Consider the following 26761-nt stretch of genomic DNA (forward strand, 5'->3'; position numbering starts at 1 on the left):
TGATTTAATGTGTAGTGTTATTAATGGTAAAGTGTATTTGTATAACAGATTTTCACATCACATATATGATGCTCCTAAATTCAACATCAGTATTCTAAATATAAAACATAATGTAGAAAAGCACACTAATAGCATTGAGTGCTAATAAGAAACAAGATGTTGTAAAAATGACTGAAGAAGCAATGAAGTAAAAGGCTACCTATCTATGCATGATTTCAGACATTTTCAAATTTGGTCACAGTGATTTCAAAGAGAATACATAAGTAGCTAGTTATTTGGAAATAGCTGATGTCCTTAGCTACCACGGATTTCTAGATAAAGCCTGCAAACATGTTAGTAGAAATGATTGTCACTATACTAACACAAAATCAATTGGATAGGGTTGATCAATAAAAATATTTAAAAATACCTCAACATTATTAGTCTCATACTAATAAATTTATATTATGTGGTTTCTGCTTATCTAAAGAGAGCATAGATATAACAGTTTAACTCAGTACAACCAAAAAGAAAATCCTCCTTCTTTAACCACAACTGTAAAAATAAATAAATTTTGACAGTAACTGGCATGTTTAAAATCTCTTTAAGTTCTATAAAAGGACATAATATTTGATGAAAGAGAGTTTTCTTGGTGGAGTCTTTCAGAAGGAGACTTGGTCTTTCTGTCTCTATTACTGATTACAGCCTTAATAGGGGCTACGGTGGAAAGATTCTTTATTAGGCATGGTTCTCAGAGCTCAACTTCAGGTGCAAATGTGTTTACATATTTTTAAAGGCATAAAAATTGTATGATAAATATTAATGTTGAGAAAAAATTGAGTAATAACTTCCTTAAATGACCCTTCTTTAGTCCTAATCATGCTTTTGTTTTCCCAAGTTGTTAGAAAGTAAAAATTAAGTATTTATTTGATGGTTTAGATGCAGGCTATTTGCTAAATAATTTTGAACTTTTCAAGACAATTTCTTACAGCATAAAGACTATATTCTGAGTAGTCGGCAGAAGAGACCAGTATGTTGAACATAATTTGGTGTTTATTTTCTCATTGATGAAAAACACTTCCCACTGACATTTTTATTTTCCTACTTTCGGGGAGTCTCTTACTCACGTTTCAGAGAAGTGTCTGTGTGCTTATGAGGACAGTCATGTAAAACGTGAGTTCTCTTTAAGCCTCGCATGACATTCACAGCTCTTTTAGGCAGCAGCAGGGAAGGCGGTGACAACCACCACTTGTAAAGCATCTTAACTTACACTCGAGTTGGAAAATAATGTAACCAGGATGCATCAGCATGTAGTCATTTCGATACTTATTTTCTATTTCTGAGTATTATAGGACTCAACTGCTGGGTCTACATATGCAAATAATTTGTTGTTGTTGTAATTAATGTGAATAGTCTCAGCTTCCAATTCATTCTCCTATAATATCTAGATAATTGAAAAATAATATGGCCTGAATGGTGACAGTCTTTATTAAAAACAAATAAAAACAAACAAAAAACCCCAAACCAAAAAACTCATGTAGTAAGAAAAGGCTCAGAATGTGACAGTCTATAATATTTAACCCCAAAGTATTAACAGAGTAAAATTGATCCTTCTAGAGCTGTTTTCCCAATTTTAATCACACACATACACACACACACACACACACACACACACACACACAATCTCCCAGGGAAGGTAAAAATATATAATTTAACATTTTTGTAGTGCAACATCATAGTGTAAGAACTAATAACTGGGAGTTATTGTAAGAACAATGACCTTGAATTTACAGTATGATAGTAAATAGCCAAGAATTTGGAGTTTGGGGTTGAAACCCAGCCCTATCACTAATTAGCTTTGTGACCTTGGGCAAGTTACTGTACCTGTCGGTGCCTGACATTCCTCATCTGTATAATGGAATTAATAATAATAGCATGTGTTTCATGGGATTATGATCAGTATTAAGTAAGTTAATGTTTGTAAAACCTTTAGAATAATATCCCCATATCCTAAGTGCTATATTACTATTAAAATATAAGTAAATGAAATGAGTAAGTACAGCTGTGATATTCAATGAATAAAAAATAGTTAAAAAAGCATTAGAATGACCTAGGCCGGGCATGGTGGCTCACACCTGTAATCCCAGGACTTTGGGAGGATGAGGTGGGCGGATCATCTGAGGTCAGGAGTTCGAGACCAGCCTGGTTAACCTGGTGAAACCCCGTCTCTATTAAAAATACAAAAATTAGCTGGGCATGGTTGTGCACACCTGTAATCCTAGCTACTCTGGAGGCTAAGGCAGGAGAAGTGCTTGAACTCGGGAGGCAGAGGTTGCAGTGAGCCAAGATTGCACCACTGCACTTTGGCCTGGGCAACAGAGCGAGACTCTGACAAAAAAACAAAAAACAAAACAAAACAAAACAAAATTAAAAAATGGGCTAAGTACTTCAATAGACATTTCTCCAAAGAAGACATACGAATGGCCAATGGGTACATGAAAATTATTCATCACTAATCAACAGAGAAGTTGAAAACAAAACCACAATCAGGTATCACTCCACATCTGTCAGGATGGATAATATGGATAACATCATAAAAACAAAAGATGAGTATTAAGGAGGATGTGGGGAAATTGGAAGCCTTGCACACTGCTAGTGGTAATGCAAAATGGTACTGCCACTATGGAAAACAGTGTGGCAGTTCCTCAAAAAATTAAAAATAGAACTACTACATGATGCAGCAATCCTACTTCAGGATATTTATCTAAAACAATTGAAATTAAGATATCAAAGATATATGAGATATTATCACTCTTAGATTCATTGCAGCACTATTCACAATAGTCAAGACATGGAAACAACCTAAATGTCTGTCAACAGATGAATGGATAAAGAAAATGTGTGTGTGTGTGTATGTGTGTGTGTTATATGTATACAATATATCTAGGATTATATATCATATATCCTATATACATATATATGAGACTTGTATCATATATAAATGTATATATGATATATGATACATTTATACATACATCATACATATATTTATATATGATATATGCATCATATATGTATATATCTATATACAGGTGATGCATATATAATATCTTTATATGTGCATATAGATATCATATATATGGGATGTGTGTATGTGTATATATATAAAATGGGACTGCATTCATCCTTGAAAAACAAGGAAATTCTGCATACACTATGCAACAACATGAATGAATCTTAAGGACGTTATGTTGAGTGAAATAAGCCATTTGCAGAGAAATAAACACTGCATGATTCCACTTATATAAGGTATCTATAATAGTCAAAATAATAGAATCAAAAAGCAGAATGGTGGTTTCCAAGGGCTAGGAGGGAGCAAAATGGGAAGTTACCAATCAATGCACACAAAGTTTCTGTTAGCTAAGAAGAATAAGCATTAGAGATCTGCTGTACAACATTGTACCTATACTCAACAATAATGGATGGTAAATTAAAAAATTTAAGGGGATAGGTCTCATGTTAAATGTTCTTATCACATTATTAAAAAGAGAGAAAATTAAAAAAATGAGTCCTGAAAATCATATTGTTTGAAAAAAAACATGTTTCCACAAACATCGTTATTACTTTATAATCAAGTTAGAAACCATCCTTGAAACAAATTTATATTGGGGAATTATTAAGGGGAAAATAGAGATGGTTGTATAGCATACTTCCCAAATTTAATTAAGTTATATAGCAGGAAGATGGAAACAGAATTCGGAAAGCATAGCTACCAGCTGGTTCTCCTTTAAGAATGAACATATGAAAAGATAATATTCAGTAAAACTTGAAGAGTTAAGTCAATATTTTCCTCAGATATTTTGGTAATTATTTTAAACCTCTTGGTAGTAATATTCAGAATAAATCCAAAATGAAAAAAAAATTTTTTTCCTCTTTAATATTAGGTCAATAAATAATCCTGATGTTAAAATAACTTAAACTGTCATAATAATATCAACAAATGTTTTAAAAATCCCTTCACTTAAAATGCATGTAACAGCATTTTGAACTGCAGTTGTTTTTTGTTTTAAACAATTGTATAAACTCTAAAATACATTCTTACTTACATCATTTGTGCTTTAAACATGATTCATACTATTTGAAAAAAATTTTTGACTGAGGGTTTTCTAAAATTCCTTTCCCATTTAAAAAGTGCATGTTATTCTAAGGTACAATTAAGTGAAGAAAAGATAAATGCATACCAAAAAAGAGATAAATTAAGTGAACCATTATGATGTGTTCTTTTCAAAGTAGAAGTGGGGATTAGAAGACTCGAGCTATCTGCAGAGCTGTATGTGAGAAATAATACTTCTTTGACATTTCCATCTAATTTAGAATAGCTGTCATTCTAGATAACTAAATCTTTCCAATGATTCTATAAACATAAACATGTTGGGGATAAGCTCCACATTGTCCCCGTGGTTAGATACTTATGACATAGTCCATTGTTTCTCAAAGTAACTAAAATTCTTACTGAAATGTTAAATTTCAATGAAGGATGAAAATGCTAATACTTCACTGCAAATAAATGTTATTACAGCACATGTGGCTCTGGTGAATAGCAGAATTTATTACAATTAAATTAAGAATTAAATATGAGCTTAAGAAAATAATTTGATTATTAAGTTGGATACATACTGTACCAGGCCGTGGATAAGGAATTCTCCCATCATACTGCACCCAACGATGGTCTGCACTTTCCTTATGAGCATATGGACCATTAAAAACTGCTCTGATGTCAGCCATGCTATACACACAAACAGCAGAGCCTTTGAAGATGGAGCTGGAAAAAAAAAGCATCATCATTCAATCATTCACTGATGAATTCAATAAACATTGACTGAGCACATACTATCAGCAGGTGCTGTGGACAAAATTTACTTAGCACATTAAATTTGATGGGTACTGTAGACACAATGTGCCTACGTCCTCAAGTGGCTTACAGCCAAGCAATTCTAAATAAAGTGTAATAATAACTTCATCGCCAGTAAATATAGTAAGCAAAGTAGAACATGCATGGGTACCCAGTATAGGGCTGCCAGGTAAGTTTTCAGGGAGGAGGTGTCATCTAAATTGGCACCTGATAGATAAACAGAAATTATATAAAACAAACCCTGGAGGATAAAGAGGAATATGCATGAAAGAGTGTTATATTTATTTACATGTTCTTCCATTTTATTTAAAGTTATTATGGCATAATGCCTTCCAAAGGCTTACAAAATAAAAAGTGACATTATTTACTTATTAAAAAGAATTATTTAAATATTTGAATAATAATCCTCTCGTTTGTTTTCTTACAATGAATGAATATCCATAAACATTAGTTGCTAAATGATATATTTATATGATTTTTATTAAACTGATTTTAAAATGTTGAAACAATCTTTTTCTTTTTGGTCCTCCTTGAATTTATGAGTTTATGTATTACAGTAGCTCATCTGATACTTAATTATAATTACACAGGATTAGAGAAAGTATTAAGAGGCAAAAAACTCCAAAGGAATTTTTTCAAATTTTTGCAAACTACTAAAAATTAACACTATTCAGATGTCTTTTTTTGCTTTATTTCTAGAAATTAAAAGATATTTTCTTTGAGTTGAAAACTTTTAATCATTCCCATTTTCAAAAATGAGATCAACCTTTATGATCTAAAAAATATATTAAAAATCTTAGCATTTCCCACCTATGAGTGAGAACATGCGGTATTTGGTTTTTTGTCCTTGCGAATAGGTGGGAATTGAACAATGAGAACACATAGACACAGGAAGGGGAACATCACACACCGGGGCCTGTTGTGGGGTGGGGGGGAGGGGGGAGGGACAGCATCTGGAGATACGTCTAATGTTAAATGACGAGTTACTGGGTGCAGCACACCAACATGGCACATGTATACGTATGTAACTAACCTGCACGTTGTGCACATGTACCCTAAAACTTAAAGTATAATAAAAATAATAATAATAATAACTTAGCATTAACAAATAAGCTAATGATTCTCTAGCATAGTAACTCAATTATTAATATTCTTGGAATGATATTAATGGGAACCTTTGAGAGGTAATGGTAAATAGGTAGGTGGAAGAAAACTAGCTCCTGAGAATGGAGGTGGCGTTGCCACAGAAATCACAGAATCTGCCTAGGATATTTTAAAGGTATGATGCCTCATGCTTAATGGCATTGCCATTATTGCAGGTTTATTATGTCTTCTTGTTGGACAAAGGATATGACATACATTCCAATGTCACCTTGGTCTTTAGGATGGCATTAAAAACAAAACAATAAAGTATAGGAAGAACAAAGAGCTAACTTGTAACTTCACACTCTGGGTGGGCAGAAACTTAATAGGAGAAAAAAACGAACTATCTTGGGGCTATATTTTCCTGGCACATATCCGTGCCTTGTGTGTGGAGCACAGTGACTTCAAAGAAAGTTCTGCAATTGGAAAGGTGCCAAGAGAACTAGGATTGAGATACTTGACCAGAGGCACTTCTTGTACCTTTTTATATTAGGATATAAATTAACAGGAAAATGGAGTCCAAAATAGCAGCTTCCTAGGATATCTTCTTTATTCTCATATTTGAACATTCATATTCTGTATCTTATAATTAACCAAACAGTATTTTGTTTTCTGATCTATTCTGAACCAATAGTGCATTTCAGTTTATGAATAAGGTATTGTGAACAAAATGAGGATTGTGCCACAGAAAAAAGTTAAACTATATTGTTCATATAAAATAGATTAAAAATTTATTCACTAGGAGGCAGTAAGACCTTTTCTTCAGTACCAATATCAGTATCTTCAATTCCTCCTATACTGATGTCAATATACATTGATAAAGTTTGAGAGCAGAGCTGTGGAAAATGTGAAAACTATTTCCAACAATATAGGCTGTAACAGGGAACAGGAGAAAGGGTGTGCTTTGAACATAGTCAAATTTAAGTTACTGAATATTAAATAAAATTAAGTCTGTGGGGCCCCCATATTCTTTGAGAAAGTTTCACAGATGCTAGTACAACTTGTTTTGTTTTGTTTGAGACAGAGTTTTGCTCTTGTTGCCGGGGCTGGAGTGCAATGGCACAACCTGCAACCTCCGCCTTTCAAGTTCAAGTGATTCTCCTGCCTCGGCCTCCTGAGTAGCTAGGATTACAGGCGCCCGCAACCACACCTGGCTAATTTTTTGTATTTTTAGTAGAGATGGAGTTTCACCATGCTGGGGAGGCTGGTCTCAAATTCCTGACCTCAGATGATCCACCCGCCTTGGTCTCCCAAAGTACTGGGATTTACAGGCATGAGCCATCGTGCCCACCGATGCTAGTACAACTTTTAAGGAAGTCGGAAGGTCTCAATGATAAGTACAGGAAAGCATTATGCAAAAAGAAGACAGAAATACAGGAGTAGAAAACATGAAATTGTCTTCACTTTCAGTTTTATTTTTACTACTAATAGTCCGCTCCTCTTTGAGCAAGTGATGAAAACATTCTTTGCCTAAATTAGTAAAGCAGTGAAATAGTCATAACAGCCACACCTGTCTTTGTAGGGTAACTGGGAAATGATAATAGGACAGCATGTGATGATGTTTTAAAGGTTAAGAGTGTCCCATCTCATGATTATAGCCTTACCAATGAACTTAACCATTTATCCACGTATTTCCTTAGTACTATCACTATGACAACACATATCATGTAAATACTTACTATGATTAATATATACGCAAACACTTTTTTTTTTTTTTTTTTTTTTTTGGTGACAGGGTCTCGCTGTGTCACCCAGGCTGGAGTGCAGTGGTACCATCATGGCTCACTGCAGCCTCTACCTTCCAGGCTTAAACAATCCTCTGACCTCAGCCTTCTGAGTAGCTGGGACTACAGGCATGTGCCTCCATGCCCAGCTATTTTTTTATTTACTTTTTGTAGAGACTGGGTCTCACTATGTTGTCCAGGCTGGTCTTGAACTCCTGGGCTCAAGCCATCCTCCCCTTGGACTCCCAAAGTGCTGGGATTATAGGAGTGAGCTGGTGAGCCCAGCCTGCATATGCCTTTTATACACAGAAAATTTATTTTGGGACTTTATCTCACAGATACGTTTGTTCCTATGGGGAAGGTATATGCACAAGTTTAGTCACTGAAGCATTATATGCAACAGTAGGCATTTGGAAATAACAGAAATGTCCATGTTCAGAGGAGTGGTTAAATAACTTGTGGTAATCATTATAGCTAATGCTATACTGGCTTAAAAAGAAAAAAAAGAATTTTTTACACTGATATTAAATGATTTTTAAGGAACACTAAGTGAAAAGGTAAAATGAAAAAAAAAGTTTACGATATGCTACTACAAACGCAGGGACAAAAAGATCCTATAACTATATTGGCTTGCATACATATACAATTCTCTGAAGCATTAAAAGCATTTTGTTGAACATACCTGGTTGTAGTAAAGACTCCATATACTACAGGATTTCTTTCATCTCTTGTGGGGAGTAAATAAATATCTTCTATTAAAGGGGAAAAATAAATATTTACTCTTATTTTTCAGTATTACATTGCTTTTTTGTTAATAACACAACTGAAACTCTGAAAATCTAAACAGTTTATACGATTAACAGAGGCACTATATTATGCCTTGAGAAATCAAATATAAGATTGTTTTTTCTCAATGACTATGTATGGTATGGTACAATTGATAATCTCCAAGGTAGTTTCCAATTGGAAATCTGATTTCATAGAAAATATAAACCAAAAAATAAGTAATTTTTACCCTCTAGTGTAAAAAAATTCTGTCCTATAATTGTGTCAACTTAGTAATTAATTTGCCTTTTTTTTTTTTTTTGATGGAGTCTTGCTGTGTCACCCAGGCTGGAATGCAGTGGCACAATCTCTGCCCACTGCAACCTCTCCCTCCTGGGTTCAAGCAATTCTCCTGCCTCAGCCTCCCTAGTATCTAGGATTACAGGTGCCCACCACCAGCCCGGCTAATTTTTTTTTTTATTTTTAGTAGAGATAGGGTTTCGCCATGTTGGCCAGGCTGGTCTTAAACTCCTGACCTCAAGTGGTCCAAACACCTCGGCCTCCCAAAGTGCTGGGATTTCAGGTGTGAGCCACCACACCTGACCTCATTTACCTATTTGGTAACAATAAGAAAATAGCTACCCCCAAATTAGTGCCGTATTGACAGTAAGTTATGTGCAAATAATATTCTTTAAAAGATTAAGATGTGAATGTGCTTACATACAATAGGAGAGGTCATCCACGATTACTCAATGTATACTTTAAGTTGGAAAATACACAATACTGATGAAATAATTCCATGATATAGATTATCATTTTTACATTACATGGCAAAAATAAGAACAAGTTCAAGAAGCTAAAAGCTAATGATGCTAACATTATACATAAACAAAAAAGAAAAAAATCATTGTAGGACTTGGAAGGAGTTTTTGAGGGAGTGAAGAGGAGAAGTGAAATAGAAGAAGCTGTCTACTGCTTCTGATTATTCTTTCATTAACAAGTCGGAGGGACAGTGTTCACCAAATCTCCTGTACTTGCCAGCAGAGGGCACCCGTGGAATAAGGAATCCAAGATTTTCCTACCTATAGAAGGTGGCTCCTTTCAAAATGAAAGACTGCATGGAGAATGGATGAACTGTGTAGTTCCAGAGCTCACACCTTTCTGTGTCTTGCTGTAGTTTTGTTTCCTTCACTTACTTTGAGGACTCTTACAAAGAGAAGAGTTACTGCATTATGACGTGTGCCCAGACCTAGAGCACTTCCGTGTACTTTGCGTGTGAATTTTAGTAAGAACCACTCCTGTAAGGTTTGCTCAGGTAAAATTAATCAGGCATTTGGAGCCAAAGGGAAATAAATGCCAAGTTACTTAATTAGGCAGTAAGGCCTTTCCAAGAAAGAAGGAAAGAAGGAACTTACGAAGCTCATCAAAGTAAGTATCTGCCCCATCACTTCCAGGAATTGAGCAAATCAGTCTGGCCTTAAGAAAAGTCGTCCACTTGTTTATCAGGCTGCGTTGTCCTCCTACATCATTCTGACATGAAAAAAAAAATAAAGATAAATATTTATCAACACAATTCTACCACTCACTAAAACTGGTGGCTATTACAGGTAGTGTCTTATTGATGTCATTGTTTACAAAGACACTGAACCCAGATATTGAGTCCTTGAACTTTAAAATAAGGAAAAAGACAGTATTAGCCCTCAATATTAAATGTTTTTCTCATAGTTAAATGAATTAAATACAAGCAGTTCAGCTCTATTGGATGAGTAGATGCATACAAGGCAATGGTAAAGGCAGCTTGAAATCAAATCCCACCTGCCAATTTTTTGCTTCATGACCTGCAAGAGACTATTTTTTTTAAGTCTCTGTTTTCTCACTGATAAAAATGATAAATCTCTTGAAATACGGTTAGTTAATTTTTGTTGTTGTTTTTCAGAGATGAAGTCTTTCTATGTTGTCCAAGCTGGAGCGCAGTAATTATTCACAGGCAAGATCATTGCCTCAAACTCCTGGGCTCAAGTAATCCTTCCACATTAGCCTCCTAAGTAGCTGATACTACAGGTGCATACCACTGAACCCAGCTGAAATATGGTTGGTTTGATGAGTAAATGGGGAAAAAAAGTCTATAAAATGCTTAGCATAGTCTCAGGCAACTTGAGTTCAATGAATGCTGGTACTGGCTTGTATATTATTTATAGGATTAAAAACAATATTTGCAACCTTTAGCAATATGTCTCTTTATAGGCTTAAAAGTCTTTTCCAAATTTAATGTCTTACTAATTAAACATCCATGCAACATAAACATATGCGTAATAATACACATATAAAAACCATCCTTTTGCCTATAATCACAGCACTTTGGGAGGCTGAGGCAGGAGGATCAGCTGAACCCAGTAGTTCGAGACCAGTATGGTCAACATAGTGGGATCTCATCTCTACAAAAATTTTAAAAATTCAGTCATGTGTGGTGGGGTGTCCCTGTAATCCCCGCTATTCAGGAGGCTGAAGGAGGAAGATCACTTAAGCCCAGGGGGTTGAGGCTGCAGTGAGCCATGTTTGTGCCACTGATTCCAGCCTGGGTGGCAGAGCAAAACCCTGTCTCAAAAGCAAACAAAACAAAAACAAAAACAAATCTTTTAAAGAATATTTATCTATATTTTCCATACTTTATTTTTACTCTGAAATGGTTCATTAAAAATGTTCTTTAAGCATTTAGTAAAACATAAACACTTAAATCAATTACACGATAAACAGAATTACACTATTCAATAATTCAGCATAAAAATTTATGTCCTCATTTTTAAATTAATATATACCTGTTGATATGGTTTGGCTCTGTGTCCCGACCCAAATCTCATCTTGTAGCTCCCATAATTCCCACATGTTGTGGGAGGGACTCTGTGGGAGATGATTGAATTATGGAGGCGGGTCTTTCCCATGCTGTTCTCGTGATAGTGAATGGGTCTCACGAGATCTGATGGTTTTAAAAACAGGAGTTGCCCTGCATAAGCTCTCCTTGCCTGCTGCCATCCAGGTAAGATGTGACTTGCTCCTCCTTGCCTTCCGCTATGAATGTGAGGCCTCCACAGGCATGTGAAACTGTGAGTCCAATTAAACCTATTTTTTTTAATAAATTCCCCAGTTTCTAGTATGTCTTTATCAGAAGCGTGAAAACAGACTAATACACCTGTGAACACTGAATAAGCATGATTTTTCATTCATTTAACCCAACTAGCTCTGCTGTGCTTATAATAAGACTAATTTATTTAAATTACTATTGAAGCCATCTTTTCCAATAATTTATTTATATTTAAGTATAAATTATATAAAATCATTTATCCTTCAATCTATGTTCTGTAAAGTTAATGAGAAGTTAACTGTTAAGTTTCAAGTCTGAATATCTAGAAACTTTCTTCTTTTATCTCTGAAATTAAACTAGAGAAAGGCATTTAAATGACTACAACAAACAAGAGAATTTGAAATCTTATAAATACTATGCTTGAAGAAAGGGGGAAGGGGAGAAAGAAAGGAAACCAGAGACCAGAGGTATCTTTATAGCCTTAGCACCTAACACCAAGGGCATCTATGGTATGTGATACCCAGAGTGAATTATTTTTTACATTCCTTTCTCACTAAACAAAAGATACATTTTCAGTAACAGTTCTGTAAAACTCAGGAATAATTATTATTTTCTTTATTTGTTCTTTAGGTTTATAACACACAATTTTAAAATAATAACTTTGAAATCTAAAAGCAACAACATTCAATAGAATATTTCATGTAAGAACTAAAAATTGGCACTTAAGGAACAAACTATCACACCTCCTAGTTTGCACTATGTCTCACTGTTTTAAATTTTAAATGATTCCAAATCATTATGAACTTACTCTTGGAACATGTGTGTAGCTGAGTTCATGTGTGCTGGAGGCTTACTATCCACACAAATATCCATATATACATATACATAATAGATACACAGTAGTAAACCACAGTTTAAAATCTAGACCAACAAGACTCTTTTATGATTAGCATATTGTCACTGACACTGTTTACAATTACTGGCATGTGGCAATAATAAAAAGCACAATAATTTTTAGTTGGTTTTTGAATAATTTTTAATTCTTGTAGACAATGCACTCCCTAAAATTCCCTCTACTCAACTCCCAATATGTCACTAAATCCCTATTGCTGTTGAATGAAGACATGATTAATAGTTAATAAATAACTAAGAATAAAACATAAAATTGAAAAAAATTTTCAGAATGGTATAGACTAAGGGCCAAGGATTTCATTATAGTGGGAAAAAGGCAAAAACTTCACTGAAGAGTTGGGTTTAATGTTAACTTTTTACAATAATAGATGGGACCAAACTACATATGTAGAGATTGGTTCAGGTAATACTGTCTGTGCTGGAAACTAGGGAAAAGGACAATGGGTGGAACAATCCAGGACATCTAGGAGAATCAGGATAAACTGTGTTTAGTTGAAGACTGAGATCAATTAAAATAGTGAAGGAAAAAGTTATGAAAGTAAATTGGGGTAAGATCAAGGAAAGCTTTAATGCCAGGCCAAAGTGTCTGTATGTTATTAAGTGCACATGAAGAACTACTAAAAAATTTAGTAATTGGCAAAGAAGTTAAATAATCAGTTTCCTTTTAAGAAAATGTATAATATATTCTATATAGTGGCTCTGTCATAAAAAGCCTGTCGGTAATTGCTCTTACATTTATATTTTATATACGATGCCTTTATTATGAGTATCATTGTTAAGAAATAAAGTATATTTCAGCCAGTTATTGGATGATTTCAGATGTCTGCAGATGCAGACAGATTTATCTAGATATGACCTGTTTTTAATGCCAATATCCTCAGAACATTTATGAATATATATCTGTACGTTAATAAGAATAAGCAAAAATATTGACGCTTTCTCCTAATGTAACAATGAGTTCTGTGTTCATGTATAGTAGGATTCCAGTGAGAAGATGTATATCTGGAATTATCAGAAACTAAGATAATTTTAAATGAATTTAAAAATGTAAGATATTTCCCCATCTTTCTCATGGCTCTTGATTTAGATCTGTTTAAAGTAACGTATCTAATCTTTACATTTTTTTATCAGCTTTCTAGTTGTGATAAGAAGAGCACTAGTAAAAACATTTTTATTTTAATGAATTCTTATATATTGATAGTATTTATTAAATTTTCTTTGCCTAAATTTGTATATTTTGAGAGGATCAGCAGTGAATACTAAAAATAATGTTGATTCAATAAATATAAACAAACATATCAGTGATCATGAATATAATGCCAGAGACTAAAGTTTGTCTTACCCATCACAGAATATATGCTGAAATTATTTTGTTATGTGAATACATATATAATCAGAATATCTGCTTAACGACATTCCTTTAATAGGCATATACAGTATTCATAAAAATGAGCAATCGTATCCTCTTTTAAACATTTTACTATGTAAAAGTGATAATAAATGTTCATTTTCAAACATTTCCTCCCTTTCTATTTACAATTATCACTGATATTTAAGGTAACCATGAGAACATTCTAACTAGCAGAATAATCCCATCTAGATTTGTAGGACAGAAAAGGGATTTATACTGTACTGCATTTCTTTTAACCTGACCAAAAAATAGAAATTTTTTGAACAAAATAATCTTACCTACCCATCCAACAGCCTTCTCTAGCCCCTCAGGAATAAAAAGATAAAAAACCAAGACAAAACAAAACAAAAAAATCCAAGCCAAAGATGAAAGCCACCTGCTGTCAGAAGGGAAGCAAATACAGTTCCTGGGATAATAGCACTCAGGAATGGATTATAAGCATTTAATGACTGGATAGTAACTCTTACAGACATCCAGAAGCATGACCTGAGATGGCAAAGTTCAATTCACAAGGAGTTGTATTTCTCCTGTAGGGAAATGTCAGTTGGGCTGACTTTGTTGACCAGTTTCTCAGTCCCTGGATTTGTTTGCATATCCACACAATCTCCTCTAAGAACTTTAAGCCCAGAAGAGGGCTGAAAGGGAGGTAACCACTTTTGTACTAAATTGTCACCTCCTTGCTTATTTTTGTGAAGTTCTAAAGAATATAACCATCTCACGAACACAATAGATTTATCATTAAGATGTCAAAATCAGCAGTTTTTAGTCACCAGGCACTTCTGTGGGTCTCTACACTATTTATCATTCACTTTTTGTAGTTAAGTGTTCCAAAAGCCTTGACACCCTCTACACAAAGATGCAGATGAAAGTAACAAAGAAAGTATATGTAAACAAGCCTGATCACATGTGTTCAATTTGGGTGGTAAGTACAGAGGGTGCCTGTTTTCCTGTACTTGTTATATGTTTGCAGTATTTCTTAATTTAAAATGATTAATTAAAAAAAGAAAAAAAAATTAAAGACAAAACAAACCACAATTTGCAATCCTTCAGCAGCTTTAAAATATAGTACATCTGAGTCATTTGATTGTATGATGGTTGCATGTTACGAATTACTAAGATCTTCTAATCATAGCATCTACTGATAGGTAGATCAGACCTAAAGCAGGGTAATATGGCATTATATTTTCCTTCTACTGTCCCAGCAAAACTTAAACCCTTATAAATCTTATATAGACATGTAAAGTAGCTAGCAGCTGTCACACATGAACTTTTATTGAGTGTGCCTTTTGAACTTTGGGTCACTATGCTGGGTTCCTCTGTTAAACGTGATTTTATCTGTATATACCATCCTCTTCAAGGATCCCTCAGTACTTTATAAACATTGTCATTTTAACCTATATATTAGATAACAGTGGCTTTTGGAAAATGTAATAATTGACTTTCGGCTCCTATGCTCTTAAATCCTGAAGATTTTGTAAAATCAGTTTACTCTCCAAGACATTTGAAAACAAGTATTTTGTTAAGCTACTAATTTGTGTGCAGAGATTTGTAACCCTATTCATGAGTTTAAGTTGAAGGACACCAGTTTCAAATCAATAGAAACTGGATAATGACAAAGTTTAAGAACTTTAAAAAATAGTTGATGCTGGAGTTAGAGGTTATAAATTATTCTCTGCTTAAAATTTAGTTATTTTGCCTAATACTGCTCTTCTGTATCTTTGTGCAAGCAAGAGAATGAAATTCTCAGACACTTTGAAACCATGATATATGCATTCTTTGTGTGCCCCACTCCCTGTTCTACCCATTAATAACACTTATGCTTATAGATTTTAGTTTGAATTAATACTACTCACCTTCTTTTGAAGTGTGATATAAATACTACAGTATTATAAATTAAGAAAAACCTATTCCATTACCCAAACTAACACTGAGGCAAACACACAGGCTTTCTGTTGGCCATTTTTACAAATTCAACAAATAAGATTAGGGAAATTTAATACTTTTGTCTTTTTGATTTAATGCCTGTTATATTTCAATCCATCATTCATATTCTTTGCTTGATTTGTCATTTATAATAGATCCCACAGCAACTGTCCAATCTACATCTATCTGTGTTGTCTCAATCTTCAGTGGGTTATTTCTAGAAACAGATTTTAGAATCTTTCTTTGAAAACTTAGTACAAATGATCTGCATGGGGCTGTATAAATAAATAATAATGATAAGGACAATCCAAACTCAGGGTGGTCTATTCAGAAGTTTGAAACTATGACCATGACATGGTAGAAACAAAAAGTGAAACCTGGCATAAGCCCCCAAGAGACTCATTAGAAGTGTATGCCTTATATTGAACTATATTACTATATTGTGAAGATCTTAAATGAGTATGTTTTGATACATTAAGTGAACTAATGGAAGATAGTGAAGTTATGCTCATTAAATCAAATGAAACAAACTTTGTTGAACTACCCTTTTTAGCCTGTGGGTTTTCTTTTGCAATACTTGCAATGCCATAACTATGTTTCATGTACCTGGTTCATTGGGATTTTTAAAAAAGGATCTGACCACTAAAAAATGAAGGCAAAAATAATAATATGAATTTTAAAAATACGGTTGAGAGTTTTCACATAACCATATTTGGCAGTCAACTCCGGTAAGTTAAGTTGTAGAAACAAATGTAGAAACAACTGTGTAACATAGAACATGTAGAAATATAACATGTAGAAACAAATATCTCTTCACTTACTTTCTTTGGCAACTTAAATTATAAGCATTTTTTAACATAAAGAGAAATTTATGGATACCGTTTCTCTTTACCAGAGGAAGGTCTATTGGCACTTGCTCTTTACTGTTTTCAAAAGTTTTTTTTTCCCACTTCTGATACTTAGGATTCCCCCCAAAATTCTTGACATATAATAACATAGAGTCCTTTACCTCACCTACTAATAATCTTGAAATACTTTAGATGAAATAAAAATATACAAACTCAAACATCTAAGGCAAAGGATAGAGGAGAAAAAAAAAGAACAACAAAAACTTTTGTGGCAGCTATTAAACACACTAACTTTTAAGGGATAAATTCTATAGAGGCTTTCAAGGCAATTTTTTTTTTCTGAAAAATACACCTAGTATTTAGAGACGACTATTTGTGATTTGCCGTTAATGACTAAGCAAATAGAAGTGGAGAACATGTTTTTCTAACTACTTCAGAAACTCATAAAAATTATTGGAAATACAGGACTGGTGTAATACACTATCCTGAACAACTCAGTTTCTAAGATTTAGCACATTCAGTTAGGTAAATCTAGGAATGTTAAGCAGTCCTTTTCAGGTAGAATCAGAGTTCATTCAATTAAAAAAAAAAAGCTGTAGCAAACAGTATAAACCCCTTCCTAGGAATTTCTCAGACAGGAAAACAGATGGAAGTGAAGCAAAAGCACATCTGTAACTCGTGGGCACTAAATCTCTCATTTAGGTTGTAAGTGACATGCTGAAAGTAAGCACAAAAACCACAGCTCAACAGAGATCAATAAATACGGAAAGTGTCATCGGCCTAAAAACACAAATCTTCAAAGGCAGTAATTGTCCAAATAGGACCATATATCAAAATAGACAATGCAAGTGGAATTGAAGCAAAGGGCTATTAATGAGACCCCCAGGCAAGTTATGTGAAAGGGCCATCCAAACTGAATTCCTGGCATGGGGAAAGGAAATACTGCAAAACAAAAAAGAGAACTGGCATAACCTACAGCTGGAATCTGGAGTAGACTTGCATAAGTATAATGGGCAGCTCTTCCAAAAATGAATAGAATTCAAAAGTAATGCAAAACAGCCTTGAGGTGAAAAATTGCAAGCAAGTCTCACCGAAAGAACTAGTATTTCCACCCATTGACTTAAAAGGTGGGTCTTGAAGGGAAACACACACACACACACACACACACACACACACACACACACACACACACAGAGACAGAGTAATAAACATCAGACAGACATAAATAATGTATTTTGAAAGTACTAACTTGCAAAGTAAATAGACACAAATCTTTTCAGTGGGTTTATTTCATGTGGTTTTGCCTATTCATTCAATTAGCATTTAATAGCTCATCAAGAAGATCTGTGTTATTTACCATCTACGAGAGCAGTTCTTTGGGGTGTAAGTTGCACCATTTCGTGCTTCAAGATATTAACTGTTTCACAAAATGAAAGAACTGTAGAGCTTGACAAGGACTTTAGAAATCCTTCAAGGTTAAACAATTTATTGGAAAAATAGAGTAAGTAGTTTGACTGGAAAGTAGGAACACTACTAAAAATAATTCATTAGGAAATGTGCTCTACCATGTATAATTATAAACATATTAAGTTTAAAAGATATTCTGTGGATGAAGGCACTTATTCGCCTCAGGCTCTCATTGATCAATATTGCCCAGTAAAATTATCTTTTAAGTCAGTTTATTTATTGTGTCTCTCTTCATTGATATCTCTTGACCAAAATTTGCATTGTTCAAATCATTTATGCAACTTTCTCCAAATACAGCTCCAAATTACTTTGACTATGTTCAGAAATAAGATCAATCTTCAAAGCACAAATTCTCCTAAAGATAAAGAAAAATAATAATGTAACTTCAGCCTTTAAAACTAATAAAATGACATATCTCTTTGATCACCTTTGGTAACTAACCTGCCCCTAACACTGCAAAATACACGCACCACTACCATCAACACCAACTTCTTCCATTCCTAAGCACAGGTACGCTGATCTGGCTCCAAATGTATGTGTGATGTGTGTGTATGTGTGCACATGCATGTGTGCATATGTGTGATTTTTGGGATTAAATTCACTGTAGTGTGACCAGATATTTACATTATTTACATGTCAATCTCTTATAGTAAATTGTTACATGCTTGTAAACTTAGATATCTAAGTTACCCTTGTTTTTGGCACCTTCCTCAGTTATCTGTCACATCCAAATTCATATGATCTTATTAAAGCCTTACATTTGCTTGGTAAAATAGTTATGGAAGCAATAGGTGCCTGCTGTCCTCATTTTTTAGGTTAAGAAACTGAGAGAATGGGAAGTAGAGCAAAATGTAAGCCTAGATCTGATTTTAAGTTGAACATTCACATCATCCAGGCAAAAGTCATTGATGATATCATTACTGCAAAATCTAATACCTAGTCTTTAATCATAATCTTACCTGACCTCTTTTTGATAAGCGACATTTTTGACAACTGCTTTCTTCTTGAAGCAATCTTTTCCCCTGACTTGTGACAACACTCTTCTCCAGTTTTCCCACTCAGCAATGACACCATTTCCTCTCAATTGCCTCTGCAGACACTTTTCTCTTCTATTTCCTAAATGTCATTGTCCCATTGGATTCTATCCTTGCCCTTTGATCTTGCACTACAAATCTTCCTGAGTAATGTCAGGCACTTCCATAACTTCAAGATCTGCCAGTGTACTGCTGATTTTCAAATTTATGAGTCCAGAGACTACTGAGCCTCAGGTTATATTTTCAACTGGCTATTGTGCCCCCATATCTCAGAACCACATCAAGTTCTTCATATCCAAATATAAAAATCTGTGCTCATAATTTTTTTTGTTATTTACCATCTCATATCAAAATATATCTCTTTGCACATGTTCCTGGTCCATGTTGTATCTTCCAGGAATCACAATTACCAAGGATAAAAGGGTACTTGTCTACAGGGTAGGTATCAAAATCTCTATGATAGGAGCAAGAGAATTAAAATGCATTAAAAATTTAGCTCATGAGTCATGCCAGTCATATTTGAACACTAACATCTACATGGCGATTGTATTGGATAGTGCAGGTGTAGAATATTACCGTCATTATAAGAGTGCTCTATTGGTCAGCCCTATGTATACCAGGCAAACAATAAAAGAGCAGTAATAAAGTGAGGACTTTATAGAAATCTACATATACACCTACATATACTTTCTATCTGAACTATCTCTTGAACTTACTCTTAGTGCTTATCTCTTTGTTCCTGTTATCTTTAGGGAACAACCTAACAGGTCTCCCAGTCACAAATATTTCTCGATCCAGATACATTCTTCAAATTGCTGCTAACTATATTTACCTATCTTGTCACTTCTCTGCTTAAAACATTTTATAATCCCTCATTGACTACAGGATAGAGTTCACACTGACTAACATGGAAACAAAACTTCTTATCAACCAACTTACCACTCTAATCTCAAAAGTCATTGCTCCCCAGACACATCCCTTGAATTCCAGTTACAACAAGATTTCACTGTTCTATAAACAAAAACTAAAACCAAAACTAAAACCAAAACCAAAACAAAAATAAAAACGAAAAACAAACAAACAAAAAACAACTGTCACAACGCTGCCTGAAATGCCTGGCCTCCATTCCTTAGCGTAGTCCCACTTCCTCATAGAACTCAACTAAAGCACCACTTCCTTCATACAATGTTTTTGGGCTTCACCAAATCCCTAGAGTTCTTAGCTCATAACTCTATCACATCACATTATGATTATTTGTTGATATATCTATTGCCCTCACTATACTAAAAGCTTTGAAAGAAAAGGGACAGTGGTTGATTATCTACACTAATTGTCTAGTATAGTGCATTTTGCGCAGAAATTATTTCATATTTTGTTGCTGTTGTTGAAATAATTAGATAATAAAATAATAAACAAAAGAGTTATAAAAGTGAAAAGATTCACACTTGTTGTGAGAATAATCCTTTACCCATTTTTATATAATGTTTCTCTATTGCCAAAATCTTTTCCCCACCAATCACAGTATACTACTTAGTCTAATAGTATCTTTGACCGGTCAATAAAACTAGTTTTACAAGTCAATAAAACAATTGTTTTTCAGTTAGTAGCTGAAGATGAAGGGAGCTCTTAAATTGTCAGCAGTTCTTTACTGTGCTAACTTATTCAGTGAAAAATGAGAACAAATGAACTATAACAGCAAGAACAACAAAACCTGAGTATTTCCAAATATGTTCTGTGGGAATATGCTGGTGGAACAAATAGAATAAAGGACTCTCATGTTACTAAAAAATCTTTGTAAAACTCAGTGAAGCATACACAGTTTACTCTTAGTTTCCTCTAACATGATCTGTTGCTTCTTAGATCTTTACTTGTATCTACTGAACTCAATTTTGTTTCATAGCATAGATGTGCATTCTGTTATTACTTGTCAAAAGAAAAAAACAGTATTATAATGACGCTGGGGGGAAGAAACAACAGAAAGGAATAATAAGTTTCAAATAATGTCAAAATAATCTTTTTTATGTGAAAATAAGATTACAGCAACAATGATGCTGAGGTCTTTTTTTGTTATTGCTAAAGTTGTTATTGTTTTGTAGGCCATCTTGTCATATTTTAAATAAAGATTTTAAGTCATTTTTCATGTTGTCAGTGAAATCTCCACTTGAAAATGTTCACTTTTTGCCACAACTTAATCTTAGATTATTAAGTTAGAAACATGGGCAGCATGTGATGCAACTGAGAAACTGCAAAGAAAGCATTTAGAACCAAAATATTGTAGACATTTGACCAATGGATCATATGTATAGTGAGAAATTCTGAAGATGTGCTCATTTAAAAATGTGATTGAGTGGAGATACACTAATTAATGAAGAACCTCTTTTTTTAAAAAATAAATTCATCCATCATATATTCTTTTTTGATCTCACAATTTGTTAGCTTTTTAACCAAGAACAATAGCATGACAGAATCTTGCTGTGTGGCCTCAGAGGTTTTGTGTGTGTGTATGTGTGTGTGTGTGTGATGAGAAAACTCATTTACGACAATTTTCTCTGCCTTTCCAGTTCTCTAGGTGTTTTTTCATAATATAAATAAAATATTACATGGTTGATGTTTAGAGAATAGGTTATAATTTTAATATAGGAATTTATATATGGGATAACTAGATTTTTCTTTAATACACTCTGAGATTAACTTTCAGTATATTTATACTAGGGTAAGACATTACTTTGTTACAAATACATTTCTATTAAATGGATTATATTTATCAAGAAATAAGCATTGAACTGGTGCACAAAATATATATTTACTTGCTATATATATTCATCAGAAAGTGACTCTTGAAATTCATTTAATTGATTGTAAATCCCTTATTCTTTATTTAACATAGCTCATTTATACAAATAATGTCAATCCACAACACAGCTTTTCAGGGTCAGGATACTGTTGCTATAAGGCATGCTTCAATACACTAACACATTAGGACTACTCCAAACAACAGGCATTCATCTCTAGGCAAGAGGCTTCAAGAGAAATTACTGTGAATTCTTAGAGTCTGAAAGAATGAGAATGCTTTTTAGAGAATCTGTCCCCTGGGGGTGAGGGGATCAGTGGGAGACAGCATTATTGGCTAGGACACTAGGTAAAGAATGATCTGGGCTCACAAGTTGGCCTCATTCAAAAGCCATGTTTTCATTAGCACTTTTAAGTGCAATGATGGTTTGTATTTCTGTCCCTGAAAGTGTTCAGAAGCCTGAGGGTACAGATTGAAAGAAAAACGTGATAGGTTCAGATAGAAGAAAATGAAAAGTTTGTACAAGACCAAAGAAAGCTTCCTGCTGAGAGTATTTATTAACAGCTCTTCCCCTTAATAACTGAGTTGATGCTAAAGGTGTCTTTTTAAGAAAAGTTATTTCAGTGGAGACAAATCTAAGCAGAAAAATAATATACTGAAGTTAAAGTATGATTCTAGTAGCAACATTATTCCATAAAGCTTGTATTCAGTCAAATGAGAGCTTTGATGGCACAAAATGGAAGCCTCTCATAGAGTATCTGTGTTTATTTATAATTTACATAAAATGGCAAGATTAAAAACTAATTGCAGTATTCTTCAAAATAAATATTTTGCATTGTGGTTGTTTGTTTTTTCCTCTTTACCTCATTTTCTCTCAGAACCTAAACTAGATTACAGGTCTAGAAAATATTTAATAGAGTAATAACGTAACAAAATTTCAACTGATTTGATGCATGTAATGATATATAATTTTACATATGTGATGTGCGTGATGATAAAAATGTAGAATATACATCTGATGATGCTTAAATTACTCTAGGGATTACGTTAAGTTACTTTCATTTAGATTATTTAACATTATATAAAAACATTTTAAGCTCCAGGGATCAGGACAATGCAGTGATGTTACTGGGAATAGCAATCACTGGCAAAAGAATAGACCTTCAATAAAAGAAATAAGCTGCCAAAGATGTGTAACTCACACCAGGGCAACAGTTCAGGCACTGTTGGAAAAATAAACTGTAATGTTTGAAAAATGTGAACTCTTTCCTTTTTCTTTCTTTTCTTCTTTTTCTTTTCTTTTCTTTTTCTTATTTTTTACATTTGGATCTCAAAAATTACACATCTAGGGTAGTATGAATCATACCATTTATGAATAATGAGCATTAACTTTGGCTTAAACCTTGCCAAAGTTTTTTCATATACATATATATATATATATATATATATATATATATATATATATGTTTTAAGTAAAATATATAAATATATCTTGCCTTACAAACTCTTCCAACTCGAGAAAGGATGGTTTTATCGGAGGTACTGCCTTCTTGAGATGATTCACGAAAGAAGAAATATATTTTATCATCATCTGGATTGTAGGTGTCTGGTATGAAGAAAGTTCCAATAAATTTTGCTCCTGTTTGAAAGAAAAGAAGCTATAAATTAAGATACTGAAACAATCCAGTCATCATAGTTTGATGATATTTCCACGTAAAAGCAATTAGCAGTAGAATTTTTAAAAAATGAACTATAAGCCAGATGTGGGAAATGAGATGTGTATACAAATGAAGATGACACAATGTAGAAATATGTATCAGCATAAAGAGGTACTGAACAAGTTCTCCAGGAATTCCAGAGAGCAGGTGAGAACATGACTAGACTAAATTGCTTGTAGATCTTTTCAGATATGGAGATGCTATCATTTTATATTCTCTTTCTATATAATGGAGTTTTCAACCACCATGTCTTTCATAAACGGCTTAGGAAATAGTAAAAATCTAGCACTGATTTTGACATACTGTGATGTATTAATACTTTGATGAATTTTGTGTAATTGCCCTAGGGGTATAAAAATGGAAACAACCAGTAGTGTTTGGTTCAAGTTCAATATGACAGTATAGGCTCTAGATAAACTTTCTGAATTTATCTCTTTCACTGCCACTCACTGGAATGGTGACCTTTGACACATTATTTATCTTTTCAATGACTCAATTTACTCATATGTAATATAAGACTACCAACGTCATCTACCTAATAAGATAATTTATATTATTATCAAGTGGATTTATATGTGTATATACATAGCATTTATATACATATAGCATATATAAGCATTAAATTCCTTTTTATATGTGTATATATGCTATATATATAGCATTTATATAACATTTTATATATATAGCATATATATAGCATTAAATTTCTTTATACAACAAACATTTAGCTTTAACACCTCCAGTATTCCTCCAAAACAATTTTTTACAGTACAAAAGCCAGTATTTATGACAGAGTTCTATAAAATCAATGACTGAATAAACAGAATAAGGCTATCCGTGGTATATATTAGTTGAAAGGTAAAATAAATAGCACTTGGAAAAATATCCATGCTTTTTCCTCCTCCCACCTCATTGATGTCATACTGAAATTTATATAGCATACATATACAGCATATATATATATATATATATATATGTATAGCATTTAGCATCAGGCAAAGGCTGGTTATATAATAAGTATTTAATAAGTGTGATTATTATTAAGATAGTTATGGGGCTGATAAGCATTATCATTACGATGACAATATACAGGGGTTAATAGAAAATTGAGTACATCCATGTACTTGTAAAAATAATATGTCATTATTAAAAATTTAGTAGATCTGTAGGTACTGACCTGGAAAGATGGCCATAATATATGTACAGTGTAAAAATGTTTGCAATATGATGAACCTCTTTTCACTGTATCACTGAAAAATTTATTTGGGTTTCTAAAACCTTGTTTAAGAGGTATTCGGCATTTTAAGTCTTGGTTTTAAATAATTGTGAATTAACCAGGTAACAGATGCGTAATAGGATGATACCAGTTCAGAAATAATTGGATTAAAGCAAAGAAGACAGAGAGTATGGTTATTGAGAAATGAAGGAAAGACTTCAATTAGAAAATATGTGGCACCTGGAAAGAAGAACAGAGCACTGACTTTTTAAGAAGCAGAAGCAAGAGAAAAGAGAAGCCAAAAAGTTTTAACAGAAAAATAAATTGGCGGGAGGTGAAAAAGATCAATATTGCCTTTTCTAGAGTTTTGCCTAGAGCTCTGATTGCTGTGCGCCCCAGGTGTTATGAAAATCACTCTCCTGCAAATGTACAGCAATTGGCCAATATCCCAATAAAGCTTCACAGTAGCCTTCTTTAATAGACAAGTTAATGTTGGGGCTGGGTGTGGTGGCTCACGCTTATAATCCCAGCACTTTGGGAGGCTGAGGCGGGTGGATCACTTGAGGTCAGTAGTTTGAGAACAGCCTGGCCAATATGGTGCAACCCTGTCTACTAAAAATACAAAAGTTAGCCGGGCATGGTGGTGCACATCTGTAATCCCAGCTACTTGGGAGGCTGAGGCACGAGAATCCCTTGAACCCAGAAGGCAGAGGTTGTAGAGAGCCGAGATCACACCAGGGCACTCCAGCCTAGGCGACAGAGACAGACTCCGTCTCAAAAAGAAAATAAGTAAATAAAAAGTTAACGTTGGATTCCGAGTGATGGGTATTCAGTCAATATCGTCTCAGCCTCTCTGGGTTGGCCCTGTGTCTCCCATCCAATCTCTTCTTTGCTTTAATGCAAAGCTTTGAAAGGAAAAGAAAGGAGGGAAATACATTCATGAACTTTCTTCTCCTTATTCTATATTATTTTCCTGTTTTCTTTTGTTTGTTTTGTCGGTAATTTAGAGCTTCAATGGACTTTTATATTCTTGATAATCTCACTTTGGTATGGTTTTTCAAAAATATATAAAAATAAAATTTTAGAAAACCACATAAAGTATTTAATTTTTTTCTAATTAATCTCAAATTGGCAAGGCCCATTAAAAATTCCATTCAATGTCTTCCCCAACCCCTGCCCCGGCCCTCTTTCAAATTGTTAGTAAATCACGAATACTTGGTTTTGATCACTGAGCAAAGTAAAAATCTCTTTTTTTTTAATCGCAAACCAACACTTCAGATTTTTTATTTAAACATGTTTTCTTTTAAAAAGCACCTCTTGGTGTGGCTCACGCCTATAATCCCAGCACTTTGGGAGGCCGAGGCCGGCAGATCACGAGGTAAAGAGATAGAGACCATCCTGGCTAACACGGTGAAAGCCCATCTCTACTAAAAATACAAAAAAATTAGCTGGGCGTGGTGGCGGGCGCCTGCAGTCCCAGCTACTCGGGAGGCTGAGGCAGGAGAATGGCCTGAACCCGGGAGGCGCAGCTTGCAGTGAGACAAGATTGTGCCACTGCACTCCAGCCTGGGCGACAGAGCGAGACTCCACTACAAAAAAAAAAAAAAAAAAAAGCAACTCTTTGTGGGATCAAATTGTTCTATAAATGTGAGATTCGGGTTTCTGAAATTCAAGAAAACAGAGAAATAATGTATTTCATTACTATTATATTCAAGGAATTTAGTGCAAAAAAAAAGAAAACTATTTGAATTAAATAATAAAAGAATGAATAAGAACTGACACTCTATATCAAACCAAGTATGATCTGGATTAAGGAAATATTGACAAATGGTCAAGACA

The 26761-nt window shown here is 33.9% G+C and overlaps 1 protein-coding gene across 7 annotated transcripts in view; it reads right to left on the reverse strand.

The window, feature by feature from the left end:
• Window positions 1-26761, reverse strand: part of SEMA3D (semaphorin 3D) — a 254691-nt gene that overhangs the window by 36680 nt on the left and 191250 nt on the right. For all 7 annotated transcript variants that reach the window (NM_001384901.1, NM_001384903.1, NM_001384902.1 and 4 more), the window contains 4 exons: window positions 23485-23627; window positions 9939-10053; window positions 8441-8510; window positions 4657-4801 (listed from right to left, as the gene is read on the reverse strand). In NM_001384901.1, the coding sequence (NP_001371830.1) occupies window positions 4657-4801; window positions 8441-8510; window positions 9939-10053; window positions 23485-23627 (473 nt within the window). The remainder of the gene's footprint in view (window positions 1-4656; window positions 4802-8440; window positions 8511-9938; window positions 10054-23484; window positions 23628-26761) is intronic.

This window comes from Homo sapiens, chromosome 7 (genome assembly GCF_000001405.40).
Source record: "Homo sapiens chromosome 7, GRCh38.p14 Primary Assembly".
Lineage (NCBI taxonomy): Eukaryota > Metazoa > Chordata > Mammalia > Primates > Hominidae > Homo > Homo sapiens.